Genomic DNA, 19319 nt, shown 5'->3' on the forward strand with positions numbered 1-19319 from the left:
TTCCGTGGTGGAGCTGCAGATGTATGAATTTATAACAAATTCTCCAGTTGATTCTTATACACACTAAATGCGAAAACTAGAGCTCTAGGAGTTTTCCTTTTCTAGGCTCATCTAAGTACAATCAAATATAATGTAAGTTTTATTACCCAAGTTAAAGAACATTTAAAAATAACCAATATTTAAGGATGAAATATAAATTATTTTTTCCACATCAATCATATGAAATTGTTAAATATCTCTCCAAGAGATTTTAAAGAAAATTAGTTCCTCTACCTGTAAAAATATACAGGTGACCATTTTCTAGACATGCGTTACTTGAATTTCTTTAAATTACTCTCTTCTGAATGAATAAAATTTACTATCTATTGATTGGCGAATATTTACTGTTTTATTAAAGTGTAACATACATACATAGAAAAACTGTCCAAAGCCTAAGAGCACAGTTTTGTAAATTTTTACGAATTGAGCACACCTATGCAACCAGCACACATATCCAGGAAGACAGCACTGTCAGAACTCATCCCTCCTACCAGTCACTACCATCTCCCCAGGGAGCATTTCACCTATTCCGATTTATAATACCACACTTCTGTGGTTAGCCTAAACTACAGGTTTGTTTAGGCTAACTTTGAACTTCACACAATTATAAGCCCTTCATTTCTGGCTTATTGTGCCCCAGCATTACGTTTCTGAGACCCAGCCATGATGCTGCCTGTTATTACTTTATTCTCATTGCTGTATGATATTCCATTTTATGAATATTCCATACTTTACCAAAGATAGAAATGCCTGGATCATAGATGACCCAGCTAGGAGTATGAGGATGCTGGATGCTGATGGTGTTTAACAACCAGAGTCTGAGAAAAAAGAAGAAAAAGCACTCTGATTTACAGCACTTGCCAATTTCTGAGGTGCAAATCTTTTCACCTTTGCCAATTTCAAGCAACCAGTGGTGCATCTCGCAAGCTGGTCAGCCAGCCCAGCACCCCTTTGGCAGATAGTACCAAGCAGACTTCTCGAGCGGCTTCAGCCCCACCAGCAGTCTGTGACAGTTCTAGTTGCTCCACATACTTAAAGAGGATTTTTACTGCTGTGGATTAGTTTGCTTTTAGCAGTTCTGGTAGGGACGAAGTGGAATTGACTGTGATTTTTAATGGGCATTCCCTTGTTGACCAATGACATTAGTCAGCATATTTATATTAGCAGCATATTTTAATATATTCATTGGCTATTTAAATATTCATTAATTGGAGTTCCTGTTAAGTCTACTATCCGTGTTTTCTAAGTTGTCTTTTATTTTGGTGTGAATTTTTAAAATGTAACATAAATAAGTTTCTCTCTTATTCATCATAACTCTTACACAACTGGATATCTGTTTCGGAATCTCAGAGTATCAAGCCTAGACTTTGTGTTACTAATAGAGCCCACTAAATCTTTTCAACAGCAACTTCCCTGATCTTTAAAAGCAGATTAGAGCTTCACCCTCCACTTAGAGTGGAGAAAGGTTTTTACCTTCTAACGACTTCTTTGTGAAGTTAGAATAAAAACATTCCCTGTGCCATCTGCCAGACCTTGGCCTGCTTTGTGCCTCTGTCTGCCCCCATCACTTCTTCCCGGTTCCTGTCCCGAGGACCTGCTGAGCTCACTGTGCCTTTGCACTTACTCATTTCTGTACCTGGAATAATCTCCCCTCGGTTTGCACTTGACTCTCTGCTTCTCTTCACTCGGTCCTCATAGAAGCCTTTCCTGACCACTCCTCCTTTAGAAACACTCTATCCAACTACTGAGCTTTAATCACATCATAGCAATTACTAACATGAGAAATGGCCATATGTATTTGTTTACATCTTTATTTTCTGTCTCCCACCTTTTAAATACATGATGCAATAAAGATACTTAATCTGTCATTTCATTCCTGCATCTAATACTTAAAACACGGCCAGGTACATAATTAGAATTATTGAATGAATAAATTAAATGCTTATTTGAAAAAATTGGTTTCTTCGCAAACTTCAACTCCTAGAGCATTGTACACAATTGCAAACATCATTTATCCCCTTAGCCATATTTTCTTAACAAAAGATTTTCCCGCACTTTACAAAAGTGTGATTTTTCATACTTTCTAAAAAGTTTTGGCTGGGCACAGTGGCTTACGCCTGTAATCCCAGCACTTTGGGAGGCCGAGGTTGGTGGATCACAAGGTCAGGAGATTGAGACCATCCTGGCTAACACGGTGAAACCCCACCTCTACTAAAAATGCAAAAAATTAGCTAGGTGTGGTGGTACCTGCCTGTAGTACCAGCTACTTGGGAGGCTGAGGCGTGAGAATCGCTTGAACCTGGGAGGTAGAGGTTGCAGTGAGCCAAGATTGCACCACTGCACTCCAGCCTGGGCGACTGAGTGAGACTCCATCTCAAAAGAAAAAAAAAGTTTTATTTTCTTGTGGTAAGAACACATAACATAAATAAGTTCTACCCTGTTAACAAATTTTAAGTGTATAGCATATTATTGTTGATTATAAAGACAGTGTTGTGTAGCTGATCTCTGAAGCTTATTCATCTTGCTTAACTGATTGGTAACTCTATTTTCCCTTTCCCCTGCCCTGACAACCACCATTCCACTGTTTGATCCTATAAATTTGACTGTTCGAGATACCTCATGTAATTGGAACCCTGCAGTATTCATCTTTCTGTGACTGGCTTATTCCATTTAACATAACGTCCTCAAAGTTCATTCATGTTGTGACATATTGCAGAATTTACTCCTTTGTAAAGGCTGACTAGCATTCCATTGTATGTGTGCACCACATTTTCTCTATCTATTCATTTGTGGATGGACCTTTAGTTGTTTCTACATCTTGGTTATTAATAGCGCTGCAACAGACATGAGAATGTCAATATCTCTTTGGATCCTGATTTTAATTCTGGTAACAAAAACAAAATAAACAAATGGTACTATATCAAACTAAAAAGCTTATGCATAGCAAAGGAAACAATTGGCAGAGTGAAAAGACAACCAATGGAATGGGAAAAAATATTTGAAACACATATATCTGATAAAGGGTCATCTCCAATATTTAGAAGGCTCTCCTACAAGGCAATAGAAAAAGAAAAAAAAATGAATGACCTGATTAAAAACTGGATTAAGGACTTGAAAAGACATTTTTCCAATGAAGACATACAAATGACCATCAGGTATATGAAAAAATGCCCAATGCCCCTAGTCATCAAAGAACTACAAATCAAAACAACAGTGATTTAAAAAAAAGACAAGTGTTAATGCAGATATGGAGAAATTGGAATCTTTGCACACCACCGATGGGAGTGCAATATAGTATAATGCTGTGGACAACAGTATGGAGGTTTCTCAATTAAAAATACAATTACCATATGATCCAGCAATTCCACTTCTGGGTAATTATCCCAAAGAATTGAAATCTTCCCTATTTTTATTTCAATATTATAAACAGCATATTTTTCCTTTGATGATTAAAGCTGGTTCAGATCCTTTTATTCCAACCAGATTCTACTTGGAATGCATAGTTTCAACTGTTGGACCTGAGACAAAAGTGAAGAAGAGAACAGGATGTACGTAAGGCAAGGTCAAATAGATGCATGTCCTATGAGGCAAATATTGTTCTAGGTGCCAGGAATGCCACAATGGACGCAATAGGTAGATTTTTGGGAAACACGAAATTAAGAACCGGGACAATCTTTATAAGACAGAGAATTGCAAATCAAATAAAAGCAAACACGAGGCTACACTTGTGAGGGGTAATAACAAAAGTGGCAAGAAAAGTAAGGGACCAGGGAAGTTGCACAGTAAATCCAGAAAAATTCTTGAGAAGACCTTTCTATTATGCTGGGGTTTCTTCCGAAGTTATGTGCAAAATCTTGAGGCTACTCTTGTGGCATCTGAACCTGGCCTGTAACATATTTCCAGTGTTACCCCGCCCCATCTGTTGGCAGAGGGAGATCTGGTCCTCTTGCAGCAGTGGTGGAGAAAGAATTCCATCAAGTTTGGGGGGATTTCTTGCTGGATCCTCGTTCCTCGGGTTGTCTCTTCAGAACCGTGCAATTTCGCAAGTCCTTCAACCAGTCGAGTCACAGCAAGGCTTCAATATGCTCAGACGACAGATTTGTCTCAAGTGAGATGCTGGGTGTGATGTGGTTAGGCTGAAAGAGATTAATGCAAAATAAAAGATGAGTTAATTGTAAAGCTGAGAGAAATTTGAGATGGAATGTAGTTGGGTTGCTGATGATTGCTGTGCCAATTTCTGTTAGGTAGATGAAGCAGTAATTTTGGCATGGAAGCCAGGCTTGCCCTTTGGTATTGGAGCATTCCCTGGGATTCGCTCATCAGGTGGAAGATGGTTTTTATTCTAATTTTACCTGTGAGAAAGTGGTCAGCACGAATTATTCAGTTCTTGACTGGGAGATTATATATACCTAAGCTGTGTCTCCACATGACTCAGCCTTTGCAAGTCACATTGAAAAGGAATACAACTATGACTGCAGAAGCTTTGAGGTATTCCCATTGCTTTTAACAAGTCCAGCCTAGGCATTTCACTCTGCTCCTCACACAGGAAATTTACCATACATCTGTTTAGGTACAGTTTCCTCTTTCTGTAATTACACATTCGTGAAAGCCACACATACGCAAAATAAATAAAAATATTTTTGTGTGTTGATGTCATTCTGCTCCTTTATTCTACTTGCTCCTACCTCTGTCTCCACCCTCACTAAACACACTCATGCACAATGTCCAGCCCATGCTACTCACCCGAGCCCTCTAGCCTAGCTTGCTGCACCATTCCTGTGCCCTGGTGCAGCTGTTAGACAAGCATAGCCTCACAGGCAGCCTGCTTACTTGGATTTAGGGCTGCAGCTGAGAGGCCTATAGATGACTTTTCAAACAAGAATCTCTAGGGTTCAGGGGAGGAGAGCTGTGAATGTTTGTATAACTTGTTTTTCCTGTTACATTGCTAGTGTGAACATAACATTGGGCAGATAGTTTTGAGAATTAGAGGAGGAAGCCATAAAGAGGAGAGTTTTCTTGGTAGATGTGGACCGTACTCTTAAAAAATTTTGCCATGAGCAATGGAATAGCTTAGTTTGTTTGTTCATTAGTTATATAGTGCCAGAAGTTTTATTTAAAAGTTCACTTTAAATGTTTAGTATTCATCTGACAAGAAGAGGTAAAATGATGATACACGAACTTTAGTTTGAAAACTGAAGGTAACATCCTGAAACTAGGAGATAAACTGAGTCTTGAAGTTAGATATTATATAACCCAAAAAACGATCACTCTAGATTATTTCTGAAGTTATGGTCTGAAGGAGGCCATCTTTGAAAGGGTATCTGCATTCACAGAAAGAATGTCACAGAACTGGGATAGGGATTGATCCATGATGAAATGTAAGAATAAAGATGACCAGACAGAGAGGGAGAAAGAGACAAGAACTAAAGACAAATTCAAATGGATTCTAGATTCCTAATTCAGCTCTTAATAGTGGCATATAATGTGATCTTTAAGGGAAAAAAGGTAGGAAAAACTATTTGGACAAATGAAACTTTACAGAGCATAATCTTGTTGAAAGCAATTTAGTTAAAAGCAAGATGGTCAGCAGATTACTTTGGCAGAAATATGATGGGTTCTCAATGACAATACCTAGACACTAGTTTTTTTTTTAATCCTAGTCATCTTTGGTGCACCATGGGGACACTTTGTAGAACTTCATACATGATTAGCTATTTTTTCCCCAATTTTGGGGTATTTTTCTACTTTTTTCATTTTGATATCTAATATGGTTTCAGACTTAGTTGTGTTTAACCAATAATTCCTCATTATTTTGCTTTTTGTTTTTACATTAATAATTCAAATTAAAATGATTTCCACACTACTCTGCTTACCATAAGAGGATGTTGGAATAAAACATTTGGGAAATTGCCTAAATAAATTATGGTAGGTTACAAAATATGATCCTATTTTGGCTAACATATATATTTGTATAATAAGTAATAAACTAACTTCATATTTTAGAAATAGATTTGTATGGATAATAAAAAGGTTAATGGATGATTTGGATGAGTAAAATTTCATTATTTATTTATTTATTCTAGAGATGGGGTCTCACTCTGTGACCAAGGCTGAAGTGCAGTGGCACAATCATAGCTCAATGCAGCCTCAAACTCGTGGGCTGAAGTGATCCTCCCAGCTCAGCCTCAGGTGCACACACTAAGCTTGGCTAATTTTTATTTTTATTTTTGTAGAGATGGGGTCTCACTTTTTTTCCCAGGCAGATCTTATACTCCTAGCTTTAGGTGCCTCCCACTTTGGCCTCCTAAAGTGTCAGGATTGCAAGCATAAGCCACCATGCCTGGCAAATCCCATTTTTTTTTATGCTCTCATTTTTTCTAATTTTATTTTTTATTAAAAAATACATTTGACTTTTAATACGGGAAAATAGAAAGAGAAACAAATCATAAATTGGATTATTAATTTAAGAGACATAAAATTTTGAAGAATGAGGTTTTTGTACTTTAATAATATTAATTTTAAAAGAATCATGCCTATTCTATTTATTTGGCTGTGTTTCCAACTTTGTACAAGGACATAAAATAAACAGCTTTTTTAAAAAACTCATCCACCTTTGTTAGAGTTTTAGGTCATTCTAATGTTTCCCTATTGAAAATGTGAAAGAGTAGGCATAATTAGATAAGAGTGAATTAGAAATACTGGTAAAATATAGAGAAATAAACAGGTAATGTGGGAATAATTGGCTGATAATTGGCATTAAAAATTAGACAATCTGGTCGGGCACAGTGTCTCAGGCCTGTAATCTCAGCACTTTGGGAAGCCAAGGTGGGCAGATAACCTGAGGTCAGGAGTTCGAGACTAGCCTGACCAACATGGCGAAACCCCATCTCTACTAAAAAAAATGCAAAAATTAGGTGTGGTGGCATGCCCCTGTAATCCTAGCTACTCGGGAGGCGGAGGCAGGAGAATTGCTTGATCCTGGGAGGCAGAGGTTGCAGTGAGCTAAGGTCATGCCACTGCACTGCAGCCTGGGCGACAGAGCAAGACTCTGTCTCCAAAAAAAAAAAAAAATTAGACTATCTAAAAAGTTCTAATGGGTGGAAAAATGCAAACTTTCTACGATATGCATCAAAATAGTCTAAATAAATAACGACAGATTACAAAATTGTGTCATGATCTCATTTCTCCTCATAAATAAGACACAATTATTTATATAATGTATAATATGCACATTTTGCATTTTAGAAATGAGTCTTTATGAATATTAAAAAGGTTAATGTGAGGTTGCACAATATACAACAAAAGAATACTTGAATAATCAGTTCCTATTGACATTCATTTTTGACACAATTCTTATACACACTAATTTTGAGCAAATTGTTGGGTTGAATCGCAGGTTTCAGCTGAACTATGTTCAGTCAAATTTAAGCAATTTTTTTTCTACCATGTATCTTGAATTGTATCATATATTAGGCAACCCAGGGCTACTAGAAATTGTGGCTAACCTGAAGAAGAATCTTGCAGGATCTGATAGAGGTGATTGAATATGGAAAATATGGAATACTTGGGCATGAAAATTTGATGGGAGACATATTGAGAAACACATAAATGAATTTAAAGGAGTCTTCAGGATGTGTGCTGTAGGTTGAGGGAGAAGGTGTGTGAGTTCGGGGACCATGAGTCCCCAGTTCTGCTAATGCAAGAACGTGTAGGTGAGGAAGTCTTGGTGGATTTTAATTTTCCTTTGGGAAAATAGAATCTCCAAGTACCTTCATGATACTTGTTCACTCATGTAAAAGGTGTCACGTGTGAGTATTCACTCCAGGAGAGTCAAAATATACACATAGATTGGTATAAATATTATACATTTTCATTGATAATCAAATAGTTAGATGATATCCCAAATCATATAAAGAACTACTGTGTGGCAGTTGAATGAAAAGATCTGAATATATTAACATGGAAATATTTTTATGATATTATTATGAGAAAATAATTTTGCACAAATTTTTATATCACATGACCCCATTTATACTAAAACATTGTACATGGCCTAACTTTTTATTCATTTATGTATATCTGTATGTAAATGCATAGAAAAACATTCAAAAGTAACAAAGCACATTGTTCTTATTCCTGAGAATGAAATGAGAATAGGTGACGACAGTGGGCGATCTGTACTTTTACCCAAAATACATTAGTATCGTATGCATTTGTTACATAAAAATATATTCCCATGTTACTAGCAGGTGTGGCAAATATGAAAAGCTTGAGTAACTCAAAGAAGTAAATAAAGAACTAAATGGAAGAACATCTAAAATTTAAATTTTTAAAGTAGCTAACATTTAAATGAGTCTTCAAGTGTTTCCTCCTCAGAAAGATATTTTTTCCTCCACATGGAGGAAAGAAGAGGGCAAGTGAGAAGATAAAAATTATTGAAGATGTACATGCTCAGGAGTTAGTCATATAGTTGTAAAGATTTGCTTTTCGTAAGGGTAGAGCCAGGAATTGTATCTCTACAACTATTTGGGTCAGGTCTGGATAAATATTATAGTGCTTTCAATAGAAGTTTAAAAAAGAATTTTTAATAATGAAAAAAATTCTCTTAAGTATTTTCTTCGTATAACTTTTCCCTAGAAAGTGTTACATGATGACCAAAGGTAATAAATTACGACATAATGGTTAGCTAGTTGGAGTTTCATTTCAAAGGTATTTAAGTACCTCAGGTTGACAAAGGCTTGTCTACATATGCAAGATGGATTAGGTAATTATACACAATAAATCAGGGTGAAAAACCTATTACAAAGCAAAGGTAGGGGTGAGGGCTGTTTCTGTGTCTAAGATTGATTGCTTAAATTAGTTAAACTCACTGTGTTCTTTACTTTGCAAGAACACTAGTGACCAAACGAACACTTTTCCTACTGGGTCAGTATCTTGCATATACAAGGTTCTCAATGAATATTTGTCATAAAAAATTGAATTTAAATGTAAGAATGCTTTCAAAACACTACGTATTCATTTAAAACTCTGTTGTTTTGCCTAATTTATAATATTTTGGTTTTAGTTTAATGCTCTATGATATTTTATTTACTCTTTTAAAAGCTAAAAAATAAGTTATTAATAAATTATTCAACATGTTAATTTTTGAATCAGAAGAAAGCAGAAATTAAGAAACTGATGGTAAAAGCTCTTGGATAGTTTGGCTCAAACTTGAGTGATAAATGGACAATTTAGAAGGAATTCACCCAGACATCTTCCACACATGAAGGTACCCCAGTGGCTTTTTCACTGCTCTCATTCTTCTCTTTATCAGTGTTAAACAGCTTATCACGTGCATCTCAGCTCTAAAGTGCTTGCGCACTTCCTCCAGCCTTTTCCAAAGCATTTCTACACTCTCTTTACCTTAAAGCAATGAGAAAACCCAAAACAATCTACACAGCACTGGGATTGATATGGTTTGGCTGTGTCCCCACCCAAATTTCAACTTGAATTGTACCTCCCAGAATTTCCCCATGTTGTGAGAGGGACCCAGAGGGAGGTATTTGAATCATGGGGGCCGGTCTTTCCCATGCTATTCTCGTGATAGTGAATAAGTCTCGTGAGATTTGATGGGTTTATCCGGGGTTTCCTCTTTCACTCATTTTCTCTTGCTGCTGCCTGTAAAGAGTGCCTTTCACCCCCTGCCATGATTCTGAGGCCTCCCCAGCCATGTGGTACTGTAAGTCCAATTAAACCTCTTTTCCTTCCCAGTCTTGGGTATGTCTTTATCAGCTGCGTGAAAACAGAGTAACACAGAGATTAACAATGTGGTTTAACAAGTTTGCTGTATAATGCTTAGAAATTCCATACAAAATAAACTATTTACAATGGCAGCAAAAATATGTGGCATAGGAATAAATGTAAAAGCGACATCACATATTTTTGCTGCCACTGTAAATAGTATATTTTGTATGCAATTTCTATTTTGGAATATTATAAAACATTAGCTGAAAAATATCAAAGAAGACTTAAATAAATAGAAAGTTATACCATTTCATTGGCAGGGAGAACTCAGTATCATACATTTGTCAGTTTTCCCAAAATTGATCCAGAGATTATTGACATTTCCAAGAAGAATTCTAAAATAGGTTGTCATCAAACTAAATAAGCAGATTAAAATATAGATATAGAAAAGCAAAGGGCATGAATGTCCAGTCACACCTGAAGAAGGAGATTAGGTCAGGAAGACGTCCCCTATGAAAGACAATGCTTATTAAAAAGCTGTAGTTGTGATATAGTGGATATTAATTCAAGAAAAGCCAAATAGTTGAATGCAATGAATAAAGAATCTAGAAACAAAGACACATGTGTGTAAAAATATAGATGCATGACAGAAATGAAACTGTAAATTGGTGGATTGGTTTTGGAGCAGTTAGCTAAAAATCCATTCCAGACTGATCAAAAAATTAAATAATAAGGAACACTAACAAATGTTAAAGACCACATATGATAATATATTTATGACTTGGTGGTGGCAACATGATTGTCAAATAAGAACAAAATGCACTAGCCGTAAAGGAAATATGGTTAAATTTTATCACATTAAAATTAGGACTTCATGTTCATCATAACACACAAAAAGAGAGTGAGAAAACAAGCAAACTATGACACAAGACCAGCAACACATACTAGTGATAAAAGTCAGGGTCCAGAATATATAAACTTGAATATATATAGAAACAAACAGCTCGACGGAAAATTGTGCAAAAATATGAACAGGTAGCTTACAAAAGTGCAATCATGAATTACTAATACATCTATGAAAAAAAATGTTGTTAAATCCCACTAGAAATCATGAGGATGAAGGTAAAAATCACAGTTAGCTGCCATTTGACACCAACAGACTGGGAAAACAAATTTAAATCTGATAGTACAAATGTTCAGAAGATTGTGACTCCCATTAATCAGCGGTCTTTGGGGCTTTACCTAGTAATGGTAAACACGTACGTTACCTATAAACACAGAAATTCCACTCCTTGGCATATAAGCTAAAGAAACTCTTGCCTATATGCACCAAGAGATATATACAACAATGTTTGTAGCTGCATTTTCACAAAAGCAAAACTTGGAAACAATTTGGTGTTTTCTAAAACCAGAATAAACAAATGAAAGTCACATATTTAAACATGTATGCATCTCAAAAACATAATACTGAGCAGTAAAAGAAAATCACATGCGCACAAATACACATTTATATTTGGTAAGATTTATTATTATAAAAGCTAAAATTAGGCAAAACTAAATATTGTTCAGGAATATTAATATTTTCATATAAGTATTGATAAATTCAACATAATAAAATACCAAAGCTATTGATAATGTACAATGGTGGCTAAATGGGTAGTAGCCTTTTTATCATTCTTACATATTATCCGTTATATATAGTTGGCATATATTTTAAAACAACAATATGAAATAACGTGATGAAAAAATTAACGAAGCTACAACATGAATCCCTTTTTGAGCAAGTTGTAAAAAGAGATCTGGGAGAGTTTCTCCTCTCTGTATCTAAAAGTACCATCTCATCTATATTTAAGACGTCGAATATAGACTCATGCAGTTTTGGTTTAACTCTTTAAAAACGGCTTTCAACAGGGTTTCATGCTCCCTTAATTGCTTGTTGTTAAAAAAAAACCTATTTTCTCTGATGTCTTATTTTAATTTTTATAAACCAGTTTAGTTTAAAAAACAGTGAGTTACTCTAGCATTTACACTTGATTTGCTTTTTAAAAATACCTTCTAATTAAGAAAAAAATCATAGTTTAATATAGAGTCATTAGGACAGGTGGGGGTGGGCGGCGAGGGGGTGGCTGGACTTCCTCGGGAGCGCAGATCTGTGTCCTCGCGGAGATCATCGTTCTGCACAGAGGAAGTCTGTGACGTGCGCTGCCACCCGTTGCTCCTGGCAGCAGTGAGGAAAACCAGCTTAGGGAGGCCCGGGGAGCACAGCAGAATGGCAAGCAGACTGCCAGCCAGAGGGACACTGTTCAGTACAAACTTGTTGACTCGGGGCACAGTCTGGACAGGCCGTGTGACAGCCTTGTGTTTCAATTACTCCAGCCCAAGGAGGCAGGAAAAAGGACCATCTAATTGAGAAACAGGCATTGTATCTAAATTGAGATTTCCAAGGGTGCATCCTTGTTAAAAAGGAGAACTCATGGTTAGGTGCAGCCTGCCCTGCAAAGCCTGGGTCACTGAGCATCAGCAAGCTTATTTTTAAATCATCTTTTTTTTTTTTTATGATGACACCTCCGACTGGAAATCATTGACTTGGCAGAATAGCAAGTCACACATTAAGCAACAAGCGAAATACACTAATCGTAGCTTGACTGTTTTGTAAAGAATTTCACAGCACAAAAAGTTAATATCATTGATTTGGAGGAAGTATGTAGGGGAAACCCATATGTAGTGAGTATACTAATTGTGACAGCTCTTTTAAAAGCAGGCAGAAGGCATTATTGCTGAGGCAGCTTGAGGAGCTGTTTGTCATTTTAAAAAAGCATGGAAGCCACAAAAAAGAGTTGGGCAAGGCTTGGGAGAACTGAGGAATTATGAGAATAAAAAACAAAAACCGGTAAAAATTCTCTTCCATTTCATTTGAGGAGCTCGGAATTCAATGCTTTCTCTTAGATAATGAGAGAGAGCAGTTAGAGGCAGACGGAAACAGCACGAAGTGCTCATTACTTTTAAATGTGCAATTTAAATACTCAAGTGTATCCATGGAAAAAAAGATTTAAATAGCAAGCTTCATTACTATTTGCTCCTAGAAGACAATGATCTCTGCAGATTGCCCCATTCTGTTGAAGTCAACATGGAGATGAATAGCAATTTTGCAGTTTGAGAAGAAGAGGGGTATGTGGGAAAACTGAAATGTGAACAAAACAACAGTTGGGCCTTTTTCCATTGTTTATGGGTGCTTTGGGAATTCTCTGCAGCTTTATCTTTCATGATGGCTTAATAAGTAAAAATACAGGACATAGTCTACATGTTTGAGACATGATTCACAGAATGGTACTAATTCACCTAAGGGCCTCTGCCTGGCTTAGTCCACATAGCACATCTAAGCATCTGGAATCACAATGGCAATCTTCCCAAAGGCCAAGGGCTTTAGTTATTTTGCTGGTTATGTACATAGACCAGCATAAACTATGCAGCCATCTGTATTTTTCTGTACCAAGACTGAGTAAAATGAATTTATAATTTTGAAAGTGTTCATCCTTGATGACCCCTTCACGCTAATTTTTATTCTTTTCAAACAACTGTAGGGTCTGGGATGCCCGGAACTCTGTTCACTCCAAATGTCCCATCCATCCTCATTTGCCTGGTTGCCCACAGCTTTGCCATCTCAGTATGTTCCCCACACAACGCCATGGGCAATTTGTAAGATCGCTAGCAGAGCAGGCTCTTGAACCACGCTGCCTAGGTTAAAATATCCACTCCCAGCTTGCTGTGTGGAATGTTGGGCAAATAACTTAGGTTCTCTGTGCTTTCTTTCCTGGCTTCTGAAATTTACCGAAGAGTAATAATACATTCCCATTCAGTTACTGTGAGGGAGAACAGAGCTCAGCACACTGGCATGCAATAGGTGCTCAGTAAGCGTTATATGTAGTCATCCACACCACGCATCACTACTGTGACTGTGTTCCACCCTGAATCAAATCACTTTCTCTGTCAGCACCAACTCCTTCGACTGGGGTGAGTGTCAGCAGCGAGTGACATGCAGAGCCACACCAGGGCCCACAGCGTTTCCCAGAGAGGAGAGGTAATCCACAGGGGAGGTTCAGAATATGGAGCCTCCTAAGATAGCATCCGTAATGTCGCAACCTTGGGGATATCAGAAGAATGGCAGGTGATTTTTTTTTTTTTTTTTGAGACGGGGTCTTGCTCTGTCACCCAGGCTGGAGTGTAGTGGTGCCATCTCGGCTCACTGCAACCTCTGCCTCCCGGATTCAAGCCGATTCTCCTGCCTCAGCCTCCCGAGTAGGGACTACAGGCGCCCGCCACCACGCCCGGCTAATTTTTTTTTTTTTTTTTTTGTATTTTTGGTAGAGATGGGTTTTCACCATGATATTTTACTGAAACTACCAAGGGGGGAAATTGAATAACAGAGAACTCCAGAGTGTGCATTATCACAAAGGGCAACTTCAGGTAGAAGTCTCACTGATGTTCCTGGAGCCTGGGGATCTTGGTCATCAAGGAAAAGCTGCACAAAAAAAAGACAGGGTAAAAGGACTTCTGATTTTGCCAGAAGAGCAGCCAATGTTATGTAAAGAAAGACAGTTGAACCCTTAGGTTATTTTAGGTCATAAAAAAAGACTTGATTAAAACACATATTGTAGAGAAAATTTATAAAAATTTTAAGGATGCCAGTTCATGTGTGGACATAAGCTAATGAACTGGCTGGGGCAAAACCACTGGATTTTTGATGATATTCTAAGGAAGATGGCTTGATTCCTGGAAATGAAATTTATTAATAGAAGAGATTACCAGGCCTAAGGCATATATGCTATTTTATATTAATTTTTAAAGAACTGAGTTAGGATGTATTTTACATCCTAATAGGAATTGTAAATAAAAAATAACTGTTTGACAATTATGCAGAAATGGTTTTGTATTCAGTCTTGTTGTCTGTCATTGTCATCATACTCTTCCAAGGGTATATATTTTTGTGCAACTTACAGTCCAAAGGCAGGAAAGAACCCACAAGGCCTTTGCTTCCACTTAGATGGAGTTAGAAGTTGTTTCCATAAGGTGATAAGAGAGGGAATTTAGTTCTCATTATTTCACCTGCCCCTACACCCTCCATTCATCCAGATAGAAAGCCTTTTGATAGAATTACTCATTGCCCTTCTAGATATTTAGGTAGCTTCTTTAAAAATACAATTCATTAGATGGGCAGTGGAAGTTGACCAAAATATTCAGGGACCTATCATAGTAAGTATTGATTTATGAGAGCACTTTTCTCCTGACAGGGGGTGCTAGGGAAGCATGGAGAACAGGAGACCAACTCCATGGGGGAAAGATGAAGAGCAATGGTGTTTTTGAGCATGGGCCCTGAATTAAGTAAGACATATGTTCAATTTCTAATGTTGACACTTACTAGCTGTGTAAATGGCCTTGGGCAAGTTCATGGTACAAGCTAAGCCTCATATTTCTTCATCTAAAACAACAGGGATTTTAGTTTCTGTTGTATTATGAAATAGATATTAATAATAATTATTGAGCAATTAGTGAAACTGTTCATAACCAGACTGACTGTAGGCAAGTATGAACTCTAACAGATTAACTATGTGTACAGCATAGAGACACACAAGTGGATAATGTGAAGATAGAGGAAAGGACATATGCATTCGAATTTCAATTTGAATTTCACAGCGGTAGTCAAATAATACCTACCATCACCAGAAGCATAAGAAGTCCCCATGCAGAGCTGTGGTTTTCTAGCCCTTCTTCACGCTTCCCCATAGCCTTGATGGGCTAGATGCTGGCCATGGTTACCATGCACTCACCTGGCGAGGGCTTTGTTATAGCTTCATGAGTCTCAGAAGTTGGACCTGCTGGCTTTAGAGTCCGACTAATTTTGTTTTTCTCCTAGAAGTTGTTTCTGAATGGATAATTTGGTGTTAGACAATTAGAAATTCACTGGATTTCTGGTCTAGGCAAGATACATTTGATTGATTTTTCTTTTCATGTAATCGTTTCTGGTAAGTCTCTGAATGAGCATGTTTTCAAGCTTTTTATTATAAATAACAAAGCAAAATACAAGTTATAGAAAGACATTAGAGCTTTCTTCTAATCTTCTTGCCTGTTGTCAGTCTCCTTTCTCCTTTCTTCCCTCCATTCCTTCTTCCTCCTTCCCTTCCTTCCTCCCTTTGTACCTGCCTTCCTTTCCTTTTTTTTTTTTTTTGTTTGTAGTGGACAAATTAGTTATCATCAATTTATTTCTGAATATCTCAAAACTTGAAATGCACAAACATATGCTGTTAGTCACAATACTTAAATCACCAAGTGTCCTTTTTATTTTTTACATTAACCATAGCTTTGGGTTCAACTATACTGGAGAATTCTATTCCATTGAATTAAAAATTGCACTTCAATATCAATACTGCACTAAAAGCTCTGGCATTGAATTGGTGTAATTTTAACCTTCTAATAGAAATGGTTGGTGTGGGGTTTCTATCCAGCCAGCACATGCTTTAATTTTGAGAGAAGTTCTTTGAAGAATGTCTAATTGTTTTCGGAAGTATGTCCTTTTGTTTTCATAAAGCTCACTTTTCCATTCCCTGTGCCAACATTTTTAGCCGTTGTGGGATTTTCTACACTGTTGCTTGAAAGTCAAATTTAAGGTCTTAGGCAATTTCTGCTTAAAAATTCCATGTGACAGATAGAATGGAGGTTGAGACTGAATTGTACCAGTGATCAAATTAGGTCAGCTCTACACAGCCATGGCTGAATATGTATAAAACCAAAACATTTAGGCTTTCACGTTATTACTAAGTCAGTCTCTCCCCCTGCCCCACCAAATAGAATCTATCTTTTTATTGTTAGAGGAAAAATTGTTCTATGGTTTGTTTTTTTAATAGATTTACAAACCTCTGAGTTTTTATAAAATACAATGGGTATTTAATTAACTTATGAACTTAAAGCTTAAACCACATTATTTCCTTTTTTAAATGCCGAATGGAAGGAGCTCTTCTGATGGGTGAACCTACCCTTCCTTCATATAGCTCAGTCCGTCAATATCTTGTCTCAGCATGTCTTTTTTACAATTTTACCCAAAGAGAGATGGATAGAACAAGGTTGGCTAATGGCCAGATCAAGGTGGGGAAAGGAATCCTAGTGTAGATAATTTAACCCCTTTCCTCCTGCCTGTCCTTACATCCACAGCCCTATGTGGCTAAGCATAAAGAGAAGTGCTGCACCTTGACTGCTGAATTCTGAAAAGGTACAGAAAAAGTAAGTGGACAGAATAGAGAAGAATTACAAGTCAGATAGATATTCCTCTGATGAGTGGAGGGTGGGTGCAGAAAGGCAGGAGGAAGGTTGCGGAAAACCTAGTAACACCCATGTAGTAGAGCGTTCCCATGAAACAACTTCCAGACTCGGAGAATGAAACCTGTTTACCAATGTACCTGCTCAAGGAGGATTTTCCTGATCCCCTTTTCCACCCTCATTCGCTCATGCCCCAACCTGGAAGAACAGAAGTAATAGCTATTGAAAAAGATAGAAAAGGAGAGAGAAGCTGGTCACTCCTTTCCTTAGCTACATGAAAGAGAATCTTCAAGTGAAGATCAAGGTGTTGTTTCATGGAACTAAACGTTCTATATATTTTTTAAATTCGTGTATATTTTATGTCTTGAATGTCATGATAGGACCAAATTCCATGAGGTCCTCTATAACTAGGACAGTGAAAAAAACCTGACTTGTGAGATACTTATCACAAAGCAACCTTATCTGAATTCTCAATTTAAGTTTTCCAGGATAATTTACCCTACTTTTGGATTAAGAAATAAAAATCTGGCTGGGCGCAGTGGCTCACGCCTGTAATCCCAGCACTTTGGGAGGCCAAGGCGGGCAGATCATGAGGTCAGGAGATCAAGACCATCCTGGCTAACATGGCGAAAACTCTGTCTCTACTAAAAATACAAAAAATTAGCCGGGCGTAGTGGTAGGCGCCTGTAGTCCCAGCTACTTGGGAGGCTGAGGCAGGAGAATGGCGTGAACCTGGGAGATGGAGCTTGCAGTGAGCCCAGATCGTGCCACTGCACTCCAGCCTGGGCGACAGAGGGAGACTCTGTCTCAAAAAAAAAAAAAAAAAAAAAAAAAAAATCTAATCTCTCTATGACATACCGGAAAAGCATAGAAAATCCACACTATTTGGAATAGTTCATGTTCGTGGATAAATATTTGATAATTTATAATACCTTCAGCAGCTAGGCTCGCAAAAGAGCTTGAAAAAAGTGTAACATTATGAATGACATATTTACTAATTTTTGGTCTACCTCGAATGATATCAAATTTCATCTTTGGTCATGAACATTCCTAAATCCTGATAGAGATATACAAGGACTTTGAGGCATCTTGCTGTTGCATCTTGAATGTAATCCAACTTCTCCATGTTGTATTTACCTGAATAGTCAAGATGACTTGACACAGGAGGGCATAGGGCATACTACAGTTCTTGAGTTTTTAAAAAGCATTATAAATGTAAACTTTAGAAACTTACAAAGAAAAAATGCACTGATCTTATTTGTGCAACTTCCTGAGTTGTGATAAATGCAACCACTCATGAAACCACTGTCCACATCAAGATATAGGATATTTTTTATCATGCCTGAAAATTTTCTTTTAGCCCCTTTCAGTTAATCTGCATAGCCACAGGAAACCACTATTCTGATTTCCATAATGATAAATTAGTTCACCTAGTCTAGAACTTCATGTAAATGAAATTATATAATATATACTCTTCTCTTTCCAGGTTCCTTCACTTGGTATAATGTCTGAGATTCAACCATGTTGAGAGTATCAGTAGTTAATTCATTCTATTGTATGAATCTACAACAACTTGTTTATCCTTTCTCCTGTTCGACATTGGTTGTTTCCAGTTTGTAACTACCATTAACAGAGATGTTCTCAACATTTTGTACAAGTGTTTTCAAAAGTAATTTTCAAAATATAAACTTTGTACTTTTTTGTTGTGTACTCCTATGCACATTTACTTTATTGTTTTTGATGAAAATATCAATAGGATTGTTTTTCCCAGATTTATTGAAATATAATTGACATATAATTGTATATATCTAATGTATACAATGTGGTGTCTTATACATATACAATGTGAAATGATTACCACAATCAAGCTAACATATCCACCAACTCACATGGTGACAATAACCATTCTAACAGTTATGAGGTGATATCTCCTTGTGGTTTTAATTTGCATTTCCCTGATAATTAGCAATGTTGAGCATTTCTCCATATACCTGTTGGTCATTTGCATGTCTTCTTTTGAGAAATGTCTATTCAGGTCCATTGCCTATTTGCTAATCATGATATTTGCTTGCTATTGAGTTATTAGAGTCCTTGGCATATTTTGAATATTAATCTCTTATCATATATTTACTTGCAAATATTTTCTCACATTCCATGGGTTGTCTCTTTATTTTATTGATTTTCTTAGCTTTGTAGAAGCTTTTTAGTTTGATGCAGTCTATTTTTGCTTGTTTTGCATGTGCTTTTTG

At 37.0% G+C, this 19319-nt stretch overlaps 1 long non-coding RNA gene across 1 annotated transcript in view; it reads right to left on the reverse strand.

Annotated features, from left to right (window-relative positions):
- Positions 1-365: 365 nt before the first annotated feature.
- The window catches only part of LOC107986335 (uncharacterized), a 36580-nt gene continuing 17626 nt past the window's right edge, over positions 366-19319 (reverse strand). The window contains exon 2 of the long non-coding RNA XR_007058508.1: positions 366-4175. This is a non-coding gene — a long non-coding RNA (uncharacterized LOC107986335). The remainder of the gene's footprint in view (positions 4176-19319) is intronic.

The sequence above is a fragment of the Homo sapiens genome, chromosome 4 (genome assembly GCF_000001405.40).
Source record: "Homo sapiens chromosome 4, GRCh38.p14 Primary Assembly".
NCBI lineage: Eukaryota > Metazoa > Chordata > Mammalia > Primates > Hominidae > Homo > Homo sapiens.